General features: G+C 37.6%; 1 protein-coding gene and 1 pseudogene across 3 annotated transcripts in view, besides 2 other annotated features; both read left to right on the top strand.

Annotated features, from left to right (window-relative positions):
• PHKB (phosphorylase kinase regulatory subunit beta) overlaps positions 1 to 22,216 on the top strand; it is a 240,225-nt gene that overhangs the window by 34,811 nt on the left and 183,198 nt on the right. For all 3 annotated transcript variants that reach the window (NM_001363837.1, NM_001031835.3, NM_000293.3), the window contains 5 exons: positions 1,290 to 1,379; positions 3,647 to 3,785; positions 6,882 to 6,981; positions 15,556 to 15,663; positions 19,412 to 19,492. In NM_001363837.1, the coding sequence (NP_001350766.1) occupies positions 1,290 to 1,379; positions 3,647 to 3,785; positions 6,882 to 6,981; positions 15,556 to 15,663; positions 19,412 to 19,492 (518 nt within the window). The remainder of the gene's footprint in view (positions 1 to 1,289; positions 1,380 to 3,646; positions 3,786 to 6,881; positions 6,982 to 15,555; positions 15,664 to 19,411; positions 19,493 to 22,216) is intronic.
• Positions 3,549 to 3,843: an enhancer, noted in NCBI's record as "tiled region #10524; HepG2 Activating DNase matched - State 5:Enh". NCBI's record gives its function as "activates a minimal TATA promoter and a strong SV40 promoter by Sharpr-MPRA in HepG2 cells {active_cell/tissue: HepG2}" and the evidence as "EXISTENCE:reporter gene assay evidence [ECO:0000049][PMID:27701403]".
• Positions 3,968 to 4,135: a silencer, noted in NCBI's record as "fragment chr16:47533988-47534155 (GRCh37/hg19 assembly coordinates)". NCBI's record gives its function as "represses an EF-1alpha promoter that drives an FKBP-Casp9 reporter gene in an ReSE screen in K562 erythroleukemia cells {active_cell/tissue: K562}" and the evidence as "EXISTENCE:reporter gene assay evidence [ECO:0000049][PMID:32094911]".
• RNA5SP425 (RNA, 5S ribosomal pseudogene 425) lies at positions 9,323 to 9,434 on the top strand (annotated as a pseudogene).

The following is a 22,216-nucleotide window of genomic DNA, read 5'->3' on the forward strand; positions in this document are numbered from 1 at the left end:
ATCTTAATCTGTGCCAATGTGATTTCTGCCACTAGGTAAATTATAGGTTCATTTTTGTGCTATGTTCTTAGACTATATGGTATACATTACCTGAATCCAGAGATGGATTAATTGTGACCTTGAGTTGTTTTTAATTTCTGAGTGCTTTTAACAAGAATGAGAGACAGTACTTAGTCTATCTTTTCAACAAAAGATAATGAGACTGTTGCCTGAATGTATACACTCTTTCTTTACTTTCTTCTTAATGTTACTATCTGCCTAAACATAAAGGCTTCCCAAAACCTTGGCTTTAAACTAGCGTGTTGGACATAGCAATTTTATGAGTATAAAGGCTTTAATTTTCTTTAAAAACAGAATCTTAATCTGTGCCAATGTGATTTCCCCAACTAGGTAAATTATAGGTTCATTTTTGTGCTATGTTCTTAGGCTATATGGTATACATTACCTGAATCCAGAGGTGGATTAATTGTGACCTTGAGATGTTTATAATTTCTGATTGCTTTTAACAAGAACGAGAGACAGTACATAGTCTGATGGCTGAAGGTTCAGATGTCTGTCTTTCAGTTAGCAGTTGAGAAAGTGCACTAGTCAAGTGAACAATTTTCTATATCCATTTTGTGGCAAATTATCATGATTATTGTGTATTTTGTAGCTTTTGAGCAGCTGACTCTGCTAACACCTTTGAGTAGTTTTCAAGGCTGAGAAGTAGAAATGATCTGCTTATAGTACAGATAATAAGGCAAGAATATCATCTCCCTGGGAGAAAGTAGAGGATTAGGAATTTCAGCATGAAACCTAGCTGAATATTCGTGGAGTGGATGGCTTTGGAGTATGTGAACATTATCTTCTTTCCTTGAGGGTTTGGGGGTATGATTATTTGAGAAAAATTTGTGTAATGAAACATTAGCATAAGGAATGAAGTTTGGATTTATGGTCCCATAATTAGACATATTTCTTAATAACTAGAATCTATTGACAAATGACTACCACATGAGTATTAGTGACACTTAGTTGTTTGGACCATGTACACATCAGTTAGTTGGATTGAGTGCTGGAGGTAAGGGTGGGAATATCCCATGACATTTCAAGTTCTTCTGTATTTATTTTCAAAGGTACTTTATTCCCCCTCTTGTTCCCCCAGCAAGAAGGTTTACAAGTAGTAAAGTATGGTACTTCACATAAAATAATGGAAGTTAGATTAAGCACTGCTTCTTCATTTGTTTAGAGTTTTTCTTTGTTTATCTTTGTGAAAATGACTGAATTTGATGGGTTTTTATTTTTTCTTTTAGGCTCAGTTTATGAACCTCTTAAAAGCATTAATCTTCCAAGACCTGATAATGAAACTCTCTGGGATAAGTTGGACCATTATTACAGAATTGGTGAGTAAAACCTGAGGAAAACGTGTCCTTAGGTATCTGCGATTAGTATTCCCCTTGCCCTAGTTAAATTATGTACATTATGTGGATGATATTGTTCTGTCATTGGGATTTGGGGTACTTTCAGTGCTTAAGTAGCTGTGTATTCCAATTGTATGTCGATATCAGGACTATAAAAGGAATCTGGCAGATCATATCTGGCCCTTGAAGAATTTGAAAACTGTCACCAATATCTTCTGTGTTTTTTTAATCTTCCTAAACATTACCAGATTTGAGACCTTGAGGATGTTTCTTGATTAATACACAGATATTTCATATAAGTATTAATTTGCTCATTTACCTAAACATGGTTCCCAGATAGTCCTAAACTTTTTATATCCGTTTCTAATTCATTGAGATACAAGAGATAATCACAAGTTAGTATTATTAATATCAGGGCGCTTGTGTTTTGTTTGTTTTATTTTGTTTTTCCAGGACCAGCCTTGCAAATTTTGTTTTTCAATGTGAGTAAGCAACTTTCAGATATGTGTATAAGGGCCTCCTCTTTGTTTGTCAGACCATCTATTAGAATGCATATTAATCTTTTTGTCAGTTTACCTTTTATGCCATTTACTTGTACTAGGATGGCAGAAAACATAAAATTTGATTTCTCTCCCCCTAAGATGATGGATTTTTTGGTCTATTTCAACTTCATATGAAACTTCAATCTTACTTCTTTTGGTCAAGATTCTTGCTTGCATTAAGTTGCCCATTTTATTATCTTTTTGGCAATAACTAGCTAAAGAGAACTAACTATATTTTTTTATGTCAATTGTGTATTTTGGACTCTTAGGACTAATTTTTTACACTGGGAAAAATAATAAATACCCTGGTTTTCTGAAAGAAATGATTATGATAAGATCAATTTAGAGGCTGGGCATGGTGGCTCACGCCTGTAATCCCAGCACTTTGGGAGGCTGAGGCGGGTGGATCACAAGGTCAGGAGTTTGAGACCAGCCTGACCAACATGGAGAAACCCCGTCTCTACTAAAAATACAAAAATCAGCCATGAGTGGTGGTGCACTCCTGTGATCCCAGCTCCAGAACAGAATGTTTTCTGCCTTTGGAAAACTATCCTAAAAAGTAGATAACATGGCTAGGTGTGATCTCTCATGCCTGTAATCCTAGCCCTTTGGGAGACCAGCATGTGAGGACTGCTTGAACCCAAGAGTTCGAGACCAGCCTGGGCAACATAACAAGCCCTCCATCTCTACAAAAAGTTTAAAAATTAGCCTGGCATGGTGGCGATTGCCTGTAGACCCAGCTACTTGGGAGTCTAAGTTGGGAGGATCACTGAAGCCCAGGGGTTAGAGGCTGCAGTGAGCTTATGATCATGCAACTGCATTCCAGCCTGGGTTATAGAGTGAGACCCTGTCTCAAAACAAAAGGGTAGTTGCCAATCTAGATAAGGTTAATGTAATGCATTTTAGGAAAAGCATTACCCATCCATTTATAGTTAGATAGCAATAAAATAGTTTTTAGTAAATGTAATTTTAGTGTTTGTGTTTTCCTATTTTAGAGCTCATTTATAAAAGATAATAAAATATTAATTTCAGACTTAAGTAAAATGTTCATAAAAAATTATTTACTTGCTGCTGTGTTCATGTTATATATGGATGGAATTCAGTTTTAAAATGTTAAACATTTTCCTAACCTGTACAATAAAGTAAAATGAATACTGTAGACTCCCTCTGAAGACCAGGCACAATTTAGTCATCAGTGAAACACAGGATTCCAGCCTGTTCTGTGATCTTCCCCTCGCCCTTCCTACATTGTTGATCATTTACTGTAGCAGTTGAGGTGGCTTTGTGATTTACTAAATGTATGCTACTCTTTCTTGTGCATTTGCTTTAAGTTTACCTATTGAACTGATTTTTAAAAAATATTATACTTAGTCTTTTGCTTCATCTCTTTTTCCCTCTGTACCTGATGTTGTCCTAATAAGATTTCTAACACACATTGACATTACTGGAGATGTGCTAAAGGCTTTTTAAGTCCTAATTAGCTGAGTCCTTTCCTAAAACTGGAAAGATTTCTTTATGTAGGGTGGATTCCCACTAAGGCTGGAGTGACATGAAGTTGTTTCCACATCTTCAGAAGTATTGTACTATAGCAAGTTTAGAAACAAAATCGTCAGAAGTGGGATGAGGAAACCAAAGAAGATTAAAACATTTAGCCCAAGGAAAGTCGCTGACTGTACAGTTCATTCTTTGTCTTGTCCTCAATTGCAGTCAAGTCAACATTGCTGCTGTATCAAAGTCCAACTACCGGTCTCTTTCCCACTAAAACATGCGGTGGTGACCAGAAGGCCAAGATCCAGGACAGCCTATACTGCGCTGCTGGGGCCTGGGCTTTGGCTCTTGCATACAGGTGAGCTGGTGTGTGTTCTCCTCGTAACTTTGAGAGTGGATAATAGGGTTTTGTAGGACCAAGACTAATTGAGCCGCTATCTTTTGGCTCTGCTGCTGACTCACTGTGCGACCTATGACTGCTCACATCCCTTTTTAGGCCTCTAAACCTTTTCATTTTCTTTTTTTTTTTGAGATGAGGTTACCCAGGCTGCAATGCAGTGGCATGACCTTGGCTCACTGCAACCTCTGCCCCCTGGGTTCAAGCAATTCTGCTGCCTCAGCCTCCCTACTAGCTGGGATTACAGGCATGCACTACCACGCCTGGCTAATTTTTGTATTTTTGATAGAGATGGGGTTTCTGTTGGCCAGGCTGGTCTCGAAATCTTGACCTCAAGTGATCTGCCAGCCTTGGCCTCCCAAAGTGCTGGGATTACAGGTGTGAACCACCATGCCCAGCCTAAACCGTTTCATTTTTCTAAGAGCTTATATCAGACCAGTTCTAAGATTTTATGACTTTGTGACCAAAACTTCTTGTCTCTAGGTTTGTAAATCACCATTTTTAGTCATTGGTAGAATGAACTACCTGCCCACTCTCATTGTGTTGATTGGTTTCAATAATGGAGAGAACTGATGATGACTAAATGTTGCAGATAATAAAATTAGAACCCCAAGTACTTAACAAATTTGTTCAAAATGATGCAACTCATTAATGATAGAGCCAGGGTCAGAATTCTTTTCCCCTACCCAATTTCTGGTTTTATCACTGCACTTCAGCATAGTATCTCTTATTAAGTTTGGTCATAAGTGAAATAATTGTATAAAGTTAAAAAAAAAAAAGAAATAGTTAGACAATACAAAATTTCTCCTTTATTTATTTCATTATATGTAGAAAGCACTGAATGTGGATGCTAACACATAATTGTAATACATTTTAACCATAATTAAGATCAGTAAGATTAACTTTCTGAATATTAATTTCCTGAAAGCGATCCATAGTTATGTTTCTGATTTAAAAATTGTATCTTCCACATGAACACGATTTATCTGTTTGAAATTACTGATGTGTTGGATTTTAAAAAGAAAATCAAACACTGAGATAAGATGCAGTAGTCTTCTTTAGCACACTTGAATGCTGACATCACTAAAAGCATTTCCTTACATATTCTAGGTAAGGACAATATGGCTTTATTAAATGTAAAACTGGTACTGATCTTAGGAGTACAGGGAGCATCAGTAGCACCTTCACCAAATGGTGAAGCCAATAATGAGACAGACTGATGTTAATTGCCATTCCTGATTTGACACAATGGGAAATACACCTTGTGCTAACATCTTACCAAGTTATCTAACATGAGTCTACATATGAACAAAGCTGAATTGTGGCTGTTTATAAGACAACTTGCCTGGACTCTTTAAAAATGTCAGTATTACAGATGACTAGGAAATAAGTATGAGGATGGCTAGACTAAAAGAGACTAAAGAAATACAACAGCCAAATGCAATACATGATCCTTAATTGGGTCATGCATTTAAAAATACTGTAAAGTATGAAAGTATGTTTTTGGGACACTTCAGTATTTGAGCCAAGACTATGTATTAGATCATATAGTATCAGTATTAAATTTCTTAGGTATAATAATGGTATTATGGTTATGTAGGCAAATCTCCTTGTTTTCTAGAGATACTTCTGAAGTGTGTAGGAGTGAAGGGTCATGATGTTCGTAGCTTACTTTCAAACAATGAAGAAAATATTATAGAGAATGCAAGCTAATGTTAAAATGGTGAATCTAAGTGACGACCAAAAGACTTATTCATTATAGCATCCTTTTAACTTTTTTGTAGATTTGAAATTTTTCTAAATAAAATGTTTACAGGAAAATTGCTTTAACAAATACAAGAGGATAGGCAGCATATGGACAAAAGTCAGATATTAACCTTTTCCCAGAATGCTTCTAACATCAGATAGAGACTTTAAAGTCCTCATTTTGCAGGCACACTATCTATGTAGAATATGCCTCTATTAAAACACTTGTGTCTGACCTCAAGGGGAAAAGTACTGTATAGAGCAAATTCATGCTAATTTTTGTGCAATGCCAGCATGAAAAAGAAGGTATGATGTGCTAATGATGAATAACTTACTTTTTACTGACATTCACCATACTATGTCAAAATAATAATCATTCTTCCCAATAGTGAATGGTATATGCAATCTATGATTTAACTGGGAGGTAATTATAATATACTTTTTAAGGAGAGAAGTGATACTTTTTAATCATGTGAGAATGATTGCCAGATATTTTTAGTTAAGATTAAGTGAAACAATGAATAAATCACTTTTATTTTTTAGTAGTGGGTGATTCTCATCCACCTTTGGAAAGTTACTGATTTATAATAAAAAGCAACTTGTGGACAGAAGGAACATCTTAACCAAACTAGGTTTGGTTAAGGTATTTAGGTTAATCTAACTATTAAACTAAATAGTTAGATTTTAGGTGTTCTTTATTTTTAAAAGCAAGAGATGTAAAATATGCTCAATTGATTTTAAATTAAAACCAAAGAATATAAAGCTCTATGCCAAAATACATCATGTATCATCCTGGATGTGTGTTTAGTTGAAGGCATCCTTGACTATGACTAAATGCCTGCTCTGATGGTATTGAACACACTGCAGAGCAAAGAAAGGCAGCACCTACCTTAACTTGTGGCTGCTACTTAAATCCAAGCGGCCATTGCATAACCTACAGGGATAGCTAATAAAAATCAGCTTTAGTTCATAACAGTGAATTTAAAACAATCTGTTGGTGGATTTTTTTCCAATAGAAATATTCTTTAAAGTTTCAGCCAAATCGCTGTAGAAATATTGTATACTATTTTTAAAAGAAGTTGGCTTGCTTCCTTGAAAGAAGGAAAAATCTGCCTAAGTTTCATCATAGGATTTTTTTTTCATTGCAGCATTTCTACTTTTGCTGGGAAAATGGAGTTTCACTGTGACAGAATTGGTAGACATCACCAGAACACAGGATTAGCCAGATAGTTAAATACTTAATTATCAAAAGCTCTGCTTCCTTTTCAAATGCATTTCCAATTAGTTTCATGAGTTATCTCTCTCACCCAGGCGAATTGATGATGACAAGGGAAGGACCCATGAGCTGGAGCACTCAGCTATAAAATGCATGAGAGGAATTCTCTACTGCTATATGCGTCAGGCCGATAAGGTAAAACATTGTGGTGTGGACGGGAATTCTCCCATCATTCTGAAGGATTAATTTAACTAGTATCGCAATGGTTTCTTCTGAAGAAGAATGTACTTTTCAAAGGGAAAGCCACATCCTAGGGCGGCCTAGATAGGTTAACAGCCTTTGCCATTCTAGCCCAGGGTTTGAAATCCTGAGATTGAAGGAACACCTTAAGCAAGAGGTGATTGAGAATTGTTATTTAGACTTGGATTTGTTTGTGTTTTGCATCTGGTGTTGCTTGATAAAGACCCAGTTTCTCAGGAACCTCACAATATCGATAATTCTAACCAATATTTTATTAAAGAATATCCTTGTCAGAATTACTTTTGGACATGTGAATTGCTCTGGCTTAAGTGAACTTTAGTTTAAAAATGTAACACTTCATTCATTTACATACAAAAAGGCTAGGAATTATAGGCTTAGAAAACAGCTTTACAGGCCAGGCGCAGTGGCTCACGCCTGTAATCCCAGCACTTTGGGAGGCCGAAGTGGGTGGATCACGAGGTCAAGAGATCGAGACCATCCTGGCCAACATGGTGAAACCCTGTCTCTACTAAAAATACAAAAATTAGCCGGGCATGGTGGTGTGCACCTGTAGTCTCAGCTACTCGGGAGGCTGAGGCAGGAGAATCGCTTGAACCTGGGAGGCGGAGGTTGCAGTGAGCCAAGATCATGCCAATGCACTCCAGCCTGGCGACAGAGCAAGTCTCTGTCTCAAAAAACAAAAAGAAAAAAAAGAAAACAGCTTTACAGCGTTATGTGGAAATTAAAGAAAATAATGTACATAACAACATTTAAAAAACTATAAAGCTCTATACAAATATAATGGCTATTCCCTTACTTACCTACATCTCTGTGATCCCAGGTCCTAATATAGTAAGTGCCCATACGTGTACATCAATGCATATGGGTCCCTAAGACCATCCACAGGTTTGATGCTTCATTAGGAGGACTCACATGACTCATCAGATAGTCATAGTTGTGGCTATGGTTTATTACATGAGAGGAGACAAAGCATAATCAGCAAAGGGTCAAGGTGCATGGAACACAGTCTGGAGGAAGCCAGATGCTAGCACCTAGGAGTCCTCCCCAGTGGGGTCACACAGATGCACTTCATTCCCCCAGCAACTGATTGTGACTAATTGTAACATATGTAAAATGTCTGTCAGGGAAGTTCAATAGAAGCTTGAGATTTTTATTGCTCAGGGTTTTTGTTAGTGGTTGGTCATGTGGGTATCCTCTGTCTAGCACTCACCAAAGTTCCAGACATCCAGAAGGAAACCAGGTGTGTAGTATCAACCATATTGTTAATGTAAACACTTTAGGTTTACATTTAGGTTTAGCCCCTCTTGTGAGAGAATAGTGGAAACCCTTTCATGATCTGAGTGTCCACATATCAGCCAAGGGGCAACCTTACAAACAATTCTTTCTGTGGTTAGCAGTCTCAGGCCTACTATATTAACTCTTTTCAGGACAATCTGCATAAATGAATGTACTGGTTTCCAGTCTGCTTCCAACTGTGTGATGTTGGACAAATTATTTAATTTCCATGTGCCCCGTTTTTTTCCTCTGTTAAATATGGATACCAGTAATACTGCCCTTATTAGGTTTTGTAAGGATTAAGAAATAACTCATGTGAGTGAGTCAGTGTTTTGCAAGAAAGCCGCCTTGGCGCAGTGAAGGTGAAGGCCAGCGCACTCCCTGGCTGAGGTGGGATCCCGAGGCCTCTCCAGTCCCCTGAGGGTGCACCACTGGCCCATCTCACCCAGGGCGGTGCCCCAGAGGTGGAGCACCAGGGCACGTGTTAGGACCTGAAAGATGATGAACTGTGCCTGGTCAGGGCAAAGCTGGAGGAAACTAGTGGAAGTCCCTAGCAGTCCTGATGTGTAAATCGATTGGTCATCCAACCTGGGTATAGGGGTGAAAGACTGATGGAACCATCTAGTGTCTGGTTCCCTCCAAGGTTTCTCTCAGGATGGCTGGCACTCTTCCAAAACCCACCCCACATGGTTTCATCTGTAAAGTGAATGATTGGAGGTTTTACGACCCAAAGGATCTCCACCTACTCTCACACTTTAGTTGGGTAAGAAGCCCGGCTTGCTGGCGTGTGGAGCCGGGTATGGAATGTGAGTGCCTAGTGGGCCGCTTCTGGTAAGCAGACCTGGCTCTGCGGGATGAACCGAATGCCGGATTAAGGTGCCCAATGCCCACACACTCATCAGACCCCAGAAAAGGTGTTGGTTGATACAGGAGGAGGGCGGCCACGGAAGTCAGAGTGGGTGGGGGTGGGGAAGGGCAGAGAATGTATAGAGAACATGGTGTCTGCCCCCATACCACCCTGAACGCCCTATCTCGTCTGATCCCAGAAGCTAAGTAGGGTCAGGCCTGGTCAGTACTTGGATGAGAGAGAGCACATAGCACAAGGGCTGGTACCGGGTGAACATACAGTAAATATTTGTGTCGTTATCATTAGTAGTATTCCCTTTCCCTTCTAGACCCCGTGTTTCAGATGCGTTTCCAACTTCTGTATTTTAGCAGAGATGCACACAAGTAACTTTGCAGGCAGTTTTGATCACTTAATATTTTGTTTATTTTTTATCATACAAACATATTGTTTTAATTTGCACTTGAAAATAATAGGCCAGGCATGGTGGCTCACGCCTAAAATCACAGCACTTTGAGAGGCAGAGACGGGTGGATCGCTTGAGGCCAGGAGTTCGAGAGCAGCCTGGCCAACATGGTGAAACTCCGTCTCTACCAAAAATACAAAAATTAGCCAGATTTGGTGGTGCGCACCCATAGTCCCACCTGCTCAGGAAGCTGAGGCACAAAATCACTTGAACCTGGGAGGGAGAGGTTGCAGTGAGCTGAGATCTCATTGCTTCCCAGCATGGGCAACAGAGGGGAAACTGTCTCAAAAAAAAAAAAAAAAAAGAAAAAAGAAAAAAGAGAAAATAATAAGCTGGGCATGATGGCTCACGCCTGTAATCCCAGCACTTTGGGAGGCTGAGGCAGGCAGGTAATGAGGTCAGGAGTTCGAGACCAGCCTGGGCAACAGAGTGAGACTCCGCCTCAAAAAAAAAAGAAAAGAAAGAAAAAAAATAATAAAAAGAGTGATAACAAGTCTTCTTCTTCAGGCCTGTAATTCAAGTCAAAATAAAAAAAAATCATTAATATTCTGCTACTAGAATATGGCAACAAGAAAATGTTATAGAGAAAAAGTATATTTATTCATAAGCTGATAATAGAGACATATGAAAAACCTTTAATTTGTCTATTGAGATTTGTACAAATCAATATTGCAAAGGTTTTTCAGATGCTTGAAATAAAGTAGTATGTCACAGATTGACATACTGGAATTAAACTAGTATGTCATATGTTATGTTGAAATAATTGTGATTAAAGTTAATTTTTTCCTAAGTGTGAGATGTTATTGTTTGTTTCATTTGTATCATTTCATGAATGCATAATGTCTTTATGAATTCAACTTTTCTCTCTAGGACACATTGTGAAAATCAAAATCATGACTTTCATGGGTTTGCCAAACAAGCTGACAAAGTAGAATTATCAGAAGGAAGTCTAATAATGTATTAGTTTAAGGCAGGGGTTTCCAATCTTTTGGCTTCCCTGGGCCATATGGGAAGGAGAAGAATTGTTTTGGGCCACACATAAAATACACTAACACCAACCATAGCTGATGAGCTAAAAAAAGAACAAAATTGCAAAACAAATCTCATAATGTTTTAAGAAAGTTTACGAATCTGTGCTTGACTGCATTCAAAGCTGTCATGCTCTGCTGGTTGACAAGCTTGGATTAAGGTTTTTTCCTTGTGGCACGGTTAGCCAGTTGGTTTTTTTATTGTTGTTTGGCTGGTTTTTTGAGACAAGGTCTCTCTGGGTCACCCAGGCTTGAATGCAGTGGTGTAATCACAGCTCACTGCAGCCTTGACCTCCCAGGCTCAATCAACCCTCCCACCTCAGCCTCCCAAGTAGCTGGGGCTACAGGCATGCACCAACACACCCAGCTAATTTTTGTATTTTTTGTAGAGACAGGGTTTCTCCATGTTTCCCCAAGCTGGTCTTGAACTCCTGGGCTCAAGCAATCCTTCCACCTAAGCCTCCCAAAGTGCAAGGGTTACAGGCGTGAGCCACCATGCCTGGCCAACTTAAGCTACTTTAAATTCCTTAAATTATAAAGGATTATCATTTTTTTTTTCCTATGTAGCTATGATGTAGACCATTAGCACCTGGCCATTAGCCAATTGTTAGTGGCCTTTTCTACTGAGATTTGACTTTACAAAGGTGTTTTGACTTTATAATGGCATTTCTTACTCAACCTTATTAACCAGTCATCACAATTGTAATATGTTTTCTTTTGATACAGTTTGAGTGTGACCTAAGGTTGTTTTTGTTTTTTAATTTTAAAAATAGAGACAGGGTCTCACTATATTGCCCAAGCTGGTCTCAAACTCCTGGGCTCAAGCAATCCTTCCACCTCAGCCTCCCAAAGTGCTAGGATTACAGGCATGAGCCACCATGTCTGGCCCAGTTAAGCTATCTTACATTCTTTAAATTACAAGGGATTATTATTTCTTTCCTATGTAGCTATGATATAGACCATTAATGTAAATATGAAATGTAAGGAGTATATTATTCTAGTGCATATGAGTGTGAGGGACTGACTCAGGGAGATTGAAGCATGCACCCAGCTCAAAGCCTCTCACCATACCTTCACATCTTGTTGCTGCTTGCCGTTCTTTTCCTCCTGTCTTGGCCATTTCCTTTACAATACTGTTGCAAGAGGAAATATAAACATATCTTGAAATGTGAAATATTTCTGTGTTGGTCTTCCCTTGAAACTGAAGCAAAGCACATTAGTAGTGTTCATTCACTGTTTGACCTCTAGCCTCATGTTGTCTTTTGAAGTAAAATCATGACCTAGAAAGTCTCCCTTCTCCACTTCTATTGATTTCTCATCATAAAACATGCTTCCTGATGTATTTTCTAAAAATACTAGCTAAAAGAGATATTTTAAATTGATTATGAATTTGAGTGAATACAAAGACTTATTCTTGATTTATTTAAAGAATTTAGAGCAGTCTGTTTTCTGGGTTTTATTGTCTTGACACTTATCTTAATGCCTGCTTATTAATGTCAGCTATGTTTTACCTCTCAGTGTGCAGATACCTATTCTCTTATTTACTGTCTTTTATAATTCTGCCTACAGAGAGGCATTCAGAGTTTTTCAGAGTTGATTCAATCTGCAATTAGTTTGGAGGGCAGACATTTGCTTTATAATAGGCTATAAATGTTGCTGTATCTATCTACTGAAAATTTTTTTTAAATGCTAGTTTCTAATTAATGAGAAATCATTAACTTTTATAAAATTTATTTTTCCAGGATTCCCTTATGAGAAGATTTTTTTCTCTAAATGAATGTTTTAAGGCTATAAGTTAAAAATGGATGACAAAATACTCAATTACCTCTTCCCAAATGATAAACTGTTTATTCACAATAATAAAAGTTTTCAGGAAAAATCTAAGCAAAATACGAGTGGAAGAGGCATTATTCTAGATTTATTTTAGTCTAGAAACTTTTGCTTTAATTATTATCTTTATTTTTATTTGCCAGATGCCAGAATCATACAAAATACTAATTAGCATCCTCTTGTTTTTGACTGCTTTCAAGAGAACTTTTTGTTTGTAATTGACATACAGCATGCCCCATTAATCTTCAAAGCTTATACTTTGGACCTTATTTTTTTCTGAAATTTTAAATTACTTGTCTTTTAATGGCTTTAAAACTCAAAATGTACTTATGTAATCCCCCATTTGAGCAACTTTAATCATTTAGTAGTTGCTTTTCCCCTGACATAGTGATTGAATATAAATTGTCCTGCTGGGTTCTTGCATGTCTTGAAGACAAATGACAAACACCACCTTGTCAACTGCAGGAGTCACTTTATTAAACTGATAAAACCTTATCCTTTTAGATCTGTATCAAGTGGTTAAAATGTGTTTTGCTTCAATTTTACCTATTTTTTATATAGGAGCTCAGAATAATATTCAGGACTTCAAGATAATAGTGCAAAAAGAGTGACCACATTGATTTCTATTTGTGTAGGTTCAGATTACTGCCAGCAGTTTCAGATATTGAGAAGGGATAGTCATCTTCTCTGAATTAACACCAGATGGCTTTGTCACTTTATCAGTAGAGAACTTACATCCCTAACTGTACCCATTCTCTAGGTCCTGATTACATACTGATAGGTTCAGACTTTTATTTTGCTGATTAGGTTCTTTAATCATAAGGAGGGCTGTATTTGTTTGTGTAGGGCACTTGGAGATGGTAAAGATGTAACCTCCCTCTAGAACAATATTGCCCAATAGAACTTTTTATGAGCATACAAATGTTCCATATTACTCTTGAGCAATACAGTACCCACTAGTGACATGTGGCTATTGATTTCATGAAATGTGGCCATTGTGACTGAAGAGCTTAATTTTTTATTTAATTTAATATAATTAATTGTAATTTAATTTAGTCAGTCACATGTAGCTAGTGCCTACCATGTTGGACAGCATAGCTTCTAGAAGCTTACAAGATATTGGGACTCTACAGCTATACTGTTTCTCTACTAACAACACTTCTGACACCAAATGTGTGGATTTTCCATACCAAGCAGTTCTTGAATTTGAGACACCAACTGGGTATATACAGTTTGTTGCAATTCTTCCAGTAATGACCTGGAGTTAAAACAGATCCTATAGGTTCAGACTCAGTCCCACAAGACTACCCCCGGCTTCCGACACCAATTGTAAGTAGTAGATCCCCAGGCTACCCACAATTCTCTCTGACTTGGCTATAATAATTCCTTGGTGTCAATACTTTGTTATAACAGCTCACAGAACTTGGGAGACACTTTACTTACTATTACCAGTTTGTTTTAAAGGATATAAGCAAACACCAGATGAAGTGGTAGAAGGTGCAGAAGGTCCTGAGCACAGGATCATCTGTCCCCGTGGTATCTGGGGTGCATTACCCTCTTGGCATGCAGATGTGTTCACAGACCCAGAAGCCCTCCAGACATCATCATCTAGGGTTTTATAGCAACCGTGTTATGTAGGCATGATTGATTAAATCACTGGCTATTGGTGATTGACTCAATCACCAGCTTTTCCTTTCTGCACGTCCCCTGAAGTAAGGAGTGGAGGTGAGGAGCTGAAAGTTCCAACCCTCTGATCCCTTGGTTGGTTCCTCTGTCAATCAGTCCCCCATCTTGAAGCTATCTAGGGACCTATCAAGAGTCACATTATTAGCAAAAACTCAGGTATGGTTGAAAGGGACTTATATGAACAAACGACATTCTTTTTGCCCCTGTTGCTCAGGAAATTCGAAGGGTTCTTGGAGCCGTGTGCCCAGAACTAGGAAGGTAGACCAAATGTGTATTATATGATTTCACAGGGAGATACACACAGCTAGTAAAAGTATAAAACAGGAAAAATAATTGAGTGACAACTACATTGATGTGGGAGTCCAGAGGAAGGAATTTTGGTGAGGGTTCAAAAAGTATAAAAGAAGATTTTTTTAAGATAGTATTTTAAGGAGAAGAAGAATTTTTAAAGATGGAGAGGAAAAGATGGTTCTATATAGTTTCATAGTGAATTGAAACAAAGCAAGAATGCAACCACTTAGGTATTATCATCACTTATTTCTCTTATTTCTCTTTAAAAGAGAAGTAAATTATTGCATTTACCTAGAGGTATATATCTTTGAATTCATTTTTTTGTTCTTATTTATCTCAGACTTCCAGGAATTAGCACAGTACTTGTCACATCACTGGCATCAGTAAATGTTTGCCATGTTGAATTGAACAGGCCGTAAAGAAATGGGTGGATTTTTTGGTCCCCAGAGTTTTTCTGTTGGATTATTTAGGTATTTACTTATTCTAAAATGGTAAAATTTTATGTCTAGCTAATAAATAATGGCGTGGCCTATATTCTCTTAGAGTTGGTGCCTTAGTAATGAGAGTACAATATATATGGAAGGGGAAATGAAAGCATGTTAACAGTAGCATACATTAAAATTTGCGACCCTTAGAGAAAGAAATTGTATTTGAAATTTGAACACTTACTGAACTAGAATTGGCCTGTGGTCCTTTTTCATTATGAGTGTCATGTAGGCATTTCCAAATAACAGCTCAGTGGAATACAATCACTGAAATCCTGTCTCACAACATAAAGCAGAATTTTACTCTAAAACAAAATAAGATGCAAAACATTGCAAAAGCCATTGCTACTACATTAACCTGCTCCATACTATACCTGAGTTGCTGTGCATGTGAAATATCAATTGAGAATCATGTTAACTCTATCAAGTTAGTAGTTATGAACTTTTTGTATTTTTTCTTGAGAAAAGGTAACGTTTCTGCTTTGTTCGGTCCTCTGCCTTAGCTTTGTTCATTAAAAAGTTTCATGAAAAATAGCTTTTAATCTATAGTCTTGGATAAGTTTATGAATTACTAATGTTGTTTAATTTTATATTTCATTCTAGGTCCAGCAGTTTAAGCAGGATCCACGCCCAACAACATGTCTTCACTCTGTTTTCAATGTGCATACAGGAGATGAGTTGCTTTCCTATGAGGAATATGGTCATCTTCAGGTAAAAAGAGATTATACATTTTATTCTCCTTATATTATATAGCATAGAACAGTGATCCCCAACCTTTTTGGCACCAGGGACTAGTTTTGTGGAAAACAAGTTTTCCACGGATGGGGTAGGGGCTAGATGGTTTTGGGATGAAACCGTTCCATCTCATATCATCAGGCATTAGATTCTCATAAGGAGAGCACAACCTGGATCCCTCGCATGTGCAGCTCACAATAGGGTTTGCACTCCTCTGAGAATCTAATGCCACTGCTGATCTGAGAGGAGGCAGAGCTCAGGCGGTAATGCTTGCTCACTGCTGCTCACCTCCTGCTGTGCGGCCCCATTCCAAACAGGATGTGGACCCATAGCAGTCTGTGGCCCAGGGGTGGGGGAGCCCTGTCATAGAAGATTTGAGGCTGTTTAAAAATAATTTTCAAATTACATTCTATAAATTGTTCAAAATAGAAGTATAGAATCAACTCTGAAACAGAGAAGAAAGTGAAATGGCAGCCACCAGGGCTGAGTTAGTTGTGGCAATTGAACATGAAATCCGAGTGAATTCTTGGTCTTCAAGCAAAAAGGGTAAATGGATAGATTATAAAATTATTTATGTGCAAAAGAAGGAAGACTACAGTTCTTTCCGTGACAAAAGTTTTTACATGTTATCAAATTTAGAAGAATTTCAACATTTAGGAACTAGGGGAAAAAAGACAGTTCACAGTGGTGTCATAGCAAATCAGTTTTGTTACACAGCAGTTCATTTCTTAATGTGTCATCCTTCAGTGAAGCTAAAAACATGCCACTGAAATGTAATTCCAAAAGGTATTTCTGAAGTCCATAAATTTTGTCTTATATAATATATTAAATTTTATACCTATGCTTAGAACACACTGGAGGTTTTAGATATATTTTTTTCATTTTATTCCCCTCTCACATCAGTGTATTGTTTTTTAGCTGGACAGTCTGTTGTTTCTGGGATACAAATATATTCTATTTATGTTTAATTGATTTTCTGCTCATCATTTGGTTCTCTGTCTTTGGGACAGAGTACTTAACTATTCATCTATTCCTTACTAAATAAAGAGTATCTCCTTTTTATAGTCCCTCTCACTTTAGATACCTGAAATTTCTTACTTTAGTATGTCTTCTCTAAACACAGAAAGTGTGGTGCTCTCATTTATATGCAGGAAAGACTCTTGTACTTATTTGTAAACAGCTCCTTGGAGAGTTAGTGTTACATGAATATGTAGTTTCTCAACCTTAACCTTTAATCAGATTTTATGTGTCTTTTCCTTTGATAAATATGTTTGCTATCAGAAGTAGGGTTTTCAGAAGATAATAGCTTATTTATCTTTGTATCCCAGATTCAGCTCAGTGCTTGGCACATAGTTGGCCTTAAATAAATTTTGGTCAACCTGTTATGTGGCAGTCCCTTTACAACTTGCCATGTACTGACATTTTCTTACAGAAGCATCCCACAAGTCAGAGCAGAGAGCTCTTAGAGGTCCCTGTAAAAGGCTGCCCATAGGAGTGAAATTTCTTTGAAGTCATTTTTGACAGGCTTGTGTCAATGCTGTAAGAGAACATATAGGGGAGCCTGGCAGTGGGATGAAACCCTTCTCACCATGCAACCATGTTTTAAGAAGAGTCACTAAAATGTTAGTGTAAGTCTAAAAAACCTAAAAGATGCAGACTACTGCATCTTCCTGTGTGGCCCACTTGGACCTTGACAAGACCCTGATATCCAATGGACTCTTGACTGCCAGGAAGTCAGGAGACACCCAGAATCAGCCTGGTTCCTCAGAGGGCCACCAGCAGTGCCAAGCCCTGGGCTCCTCTGCCCAAAGCCTCCAGGGCACCAATAATTTTCTGCCCCAATTTCCCATCTATTACTCAGTTGGGCTGGAGGAGAGTCATGGGAGACATAGCCACTGGAGCTGTCAGAGGGAAATAATCTATGTTAGAATTCTATGGAAACAAAATTACATCTTGCTTTCTCTTTGTTTTTAACTCAGGCTTACAGTTTCCTGGCTGAAAGTTTTTCACTGCCTTTTTAAAAATTTACTTATTTAATAACAGTTTTATTGAGATACAATTCACGTAACATGTAATTCACCTATTTAAAGTATATAGTTTGATGGTTTTTAGTATATTCAGAGTTTCTCAACCATTATCACTATAAATTTTAGAACATTGTCATCACCCCAGAAAGAAACATTGTACCCATTAGGTTGCAAAAAGAAACTTTGTATTCCCTATATTCTCCAAAGCCCCCCAGCTCTAGGCAGCAACCAGTCTTTCTGTCCCTGTGGATTTGCCTACTCTTGGCATTTCATATACAATAAATGATCTTTTTGTGACTGGCTTTTTAAATTTAGCGTTGTGTTTTCAAGATGTATTGGTCAGGATTCTCCAAAGGGACAGAACTAATAGGTGGAGGAGAGGAGAGAGGGACAGAGGGAGGGAGGGAGGGAAGGAGAGGTTGGAGGAATTGACCCACACAATTATGGAGGCTGAGAAGTCCCATGAGAGGCCATCTGCAAGCTGCAAAAGCAAGGATGCCACTAATGTGGCTTAGTCCACATCTGAAAGCCTCAGAACCATACAAGCCAGTGGTGTAACTCTCTGTTGGAGGATGAAGGCCCAAAAGCCCAGCGAGCCACTGATGGAAGCCCTGGAACCAAAAGCTGGATAACCTGGAGTTCTGATGTCCAAAGGCAGGAGAAGAAGAGTGTATGAGAGCAAGAATTCACCCTTCCTCTGCCTTTTTGTTCCATCTGGGTGGCCCCCAGTCAATTGGGTGGCACCTGCCGACCTTGAGAATAGGTCTTCCCCACTCAGACAGCCAACTCACGTGCCAGCTTCCTCCAGAAACATCCTCACAGATGTACCCAGAAATAATGCTTTGCCAGCTGTCTAGGTATCCCTTTATCCAGTCAAATTGACACCTAAAATGAACCACACAGGGTTGTGCCTGTTGTGGCACGTACCTTTCCTGCTTCTTTACCTGAGACAATTCACACATCCCATTCAGGATTCTGTGAGTATCCTTTTTTGTTAAAGTGATATTAGTATTTTTTTGTTTAGATCATAAAATATCTATTTTTAATACACTAAAATAATACCTCCTTTGTTCATAAAACTAATTTGTTCATAAACATGTTTTAAATTATATTATACCATTAACATTAATATGTTCCTGCAGTTGTTTACAGAAATTCTGTATTTGTTGAATATGAGACTGTTTTCAAGATGCACTGCCTATTGTTTATGGGGTACTGGCATCATCATAGTGTCTTGCTTACCAAATATCTTTTTTCATTTCCATGTATTTGAGATGGATTGGCATTTCATACTGCCTGTGGGGCCAGACTATTCCAAAGTAGAGTAGAAGTACTTTAGACCCAAAGCTTGAAAATAAATCTTAAAAAACAAATGATATGTTCCTATTTTTTTCAAAGTTCTTTTTGCCATGTAAAGAAACCAAATGATGTAGAAACAGTTGTTAACAGTTTTATTTGAAGCCGTTTCCCTAATCCAGTGTTATCCATTACAATGAATTTGAGAATTTAGAATTTTACATACAAAGCTGGGATTTTTATTATGAACTAAATTCACAACACCTTTATTCACAGTAGGAAAGGAAATAGTTTTATGACACTATTAGAGCAAATGACTTGTAATTTTAGCCTTAATTGATTAATTTTATAACTTGTTTTGGTTGTTTCCTTTAACCTTTTAATGTTTCTGTTTGTTGCAGATAAATGCAGTGTCACTTTATCTCCTTTACCTTGTGGAAATGATTTCCTCAGGACTCCAGATTATCTACAACACTGATGAGGTATGCTTTCCCCAAATTTTCTATTACTAAATTTCACCTCTGAAAATATCTATTTTTTTTTTTAGTTTTCACAACTTATTTTTAGTTTATGTAAAATGTATTCCTGTTACATTTATATAATCAGATAGTAGATGTTGGTTGTTGAATGAAAAAGTCTTTATATCTTCAATGCATTGCACTTTTAAAATGAACACAATGTGTAACAGGTTGTAAAACTTTACTCCCGTGAAGACTCTATTTCAGGTGATCTAAAATAAAACATGTAACTTTTAAAAAATTTTAGTAACAATGAAAGCAAAATAACATTTGCAGATTTTCTCAATTATTGTCTTTTTTTTTTTTTTTGAGATGGAGTCTTGCTCTGTCACGGGGCTGGAGTGCAGTGGTATGATCTCAGCTCACTGCAACCTCTGCCTCCCAGGTTCAAGCGATTCCCCTGCCTCAGCCTCCAAAGTATCTGGGATTATAGGCATGTGCCACTACGCCTGGCTAATTTTTTGTATTTTAGTAGAGACGGGGTTTCACCATGTTGGCCAAGGCAGTCTTGATCTCCTGACCTTGTGATCCGCCCACCTCGGCCTCCCAAAGTGCTGGGATTACAGGAGTGAGCCACCGTGCCCGGCCTCTTTCTTTTGTTTTACATCGTTGCATTTCATAACTCACCCTTTGAAAAGTAAAGAGAAACTTTTATCCTGTTATATTATTTTTATTTGTAGGATCTCAGTAGGATTCTTCATGTTTTTCAAAAGACAAATACCATGTTCTTATTCTTATTAGGAAAATTGTAAAGAATTCATATCCCAAAGATGAGAAGCATTTCTTTCACAGGCATTAATGCTTGAACAAACACACAAGCACATGCGCTGATGTACTTTGAAATGTGCCATAGTGGGAGCAAAAAAGCTTTTATTGTTTGGTACATGCAGTGAGAACTCTGTGAAAGGGTAGATGTACTATATATGTTTGTTACTATTCCTCTCCTGTGATCCATGCAAGGGAGAACAATTACATCAGACACTCAACACCAAAATTGTCATTGGACCGTACTGAGGGTACTACAAAATAGGTGCATGTAGCCCTGCCCTCTAGTAGTTTATATTCTCATACACACTTATAGTGTATGAGTTTATAGTCTCATACAATAAATAAATTCTATTTAGAAGTGAAGATAAATAATGAAGAAGAAATTATGGTCGTAAGAAATTAATAATACCCAGTATGGTTTCTTCTATTTGATTTGTCAAAGAATTCTATGGTTTCATTTCATCCAAATAATTGTTAGTGTTTATAATATTGTGAAGTGGGATTATTCAAGCATTTGGGATCAGGGAGGAGCTGGGAAACTCCTGTTTTAGTCCAATTTTAAGGAGCATGCTAAAATATAAAACAAATAAGGGAAAGGAGCTGGGAAACTCCTGTTTTAGATCAATCTTAAAGAGCATGCCAATATATAAAACAAATAAAAGAAGCATGACTCTGACTGAGGAGAGGAGGCCTTCCAGAACCAGCCCACTTAGCTTCTCAATTTTTCCACCCATAATATCTCCAAAGCACTGGGAGAAATATCCTAGATCCCTGTGGAACATCTTATGATAACCGTTTACAATTAGTGGCAACTAATATTGCTTACAAGTGGCTTTGTTTTGTTCAGTAATTTTTTTTTTTTTTTTTGAGACAGTGTATCACTCTGTCTGCCCAGGCTGGAGTGCAGTAACACCGTTTCAGCTCATTGCAGCCTCAACTTCCTGGGCTCAGGTGATTCTCCCACCTCAGCCTCCTCAGTAGCTGGGACTGCAGATGCACACCACCATGCCCGGCTAATTTCTTTTGTATTTTTTGTAGAGATGGGTTTACCATGTTGCCCAGGCTGTTCTCGATCTCCTGGGCTCAAGCAATCAGCCCACCTCAGTCTCCTAAAGTACTGGGATTACATCTGGGAGCCACTGCACCTGGCCTTGTTTAGTAATTTATTTTTAATTGTAAAAATTTTACTTTTTGCTTTCTCAATATATGTCATAATTCATTTTGTATTTTTATTTGTCAACTGCCATTTTTCATGAATATTATATCACTTTAGCCATTCCATTTGGTTTTATATGGCTTATGTAAGCTTTAAAATTTTTGGATAGTTCCTTACCTTCTTAAACTGCTTTTTTTAAAAAAATTTCTTATTTGTGGTTTTTCTTGGCCTTATGGTTTTTATTTACTATATGTGAAGTTTTTATGCAGCTAATTATCAATAGCCTTCAATATGTACACTTAAAAATCCTAGAGTAATAAAACATGTCATTTCCGCTCACCATCTTTTTCCTTGAGATTCTGTATAATGTGTTGGATCATATGGAGAGGCAGTAAATGGACCTGCATAGAATCAGTTAATGAAATTCTTTTTATCTAAAGATCTCAGAGGATTCAATTCTTTGAAAAGTGGTATGACTTGGAAGCCTTTTCTTTTTTAACTGTATCTTAGGCTCTGGTTTGGCTAGTTCATAACCCTACCACATCTTCAGTTCCTAGTTATACTCACATTTTAAGACAATCTAAGGACCCAGGATGTCAGTGGGATTACCGTTTATTTCCTTCTCTATTTACTATAAAATTTAAAATTTGCCCTAATGCTTCTTTTTCTTAGGATTGAAGAATTCAGAGTTTGGAGATATACATATGTGCACACACACACACATACACATACATATGTAATGAAATATAGGTACTGCATTGTCT

Source organism: Homo sapiens, chromosome 16 (genome assembly GCF_000001405.40).
Source record: "Homo sapiens chromosome 16, GRCh38.p14 Primary Assembly".
Taxonomy (NCBI): Eukaryota; Metazoa; Chordata; class Mammalia; order Primates; family Hominidae; genus Homo; species Homo sapiens.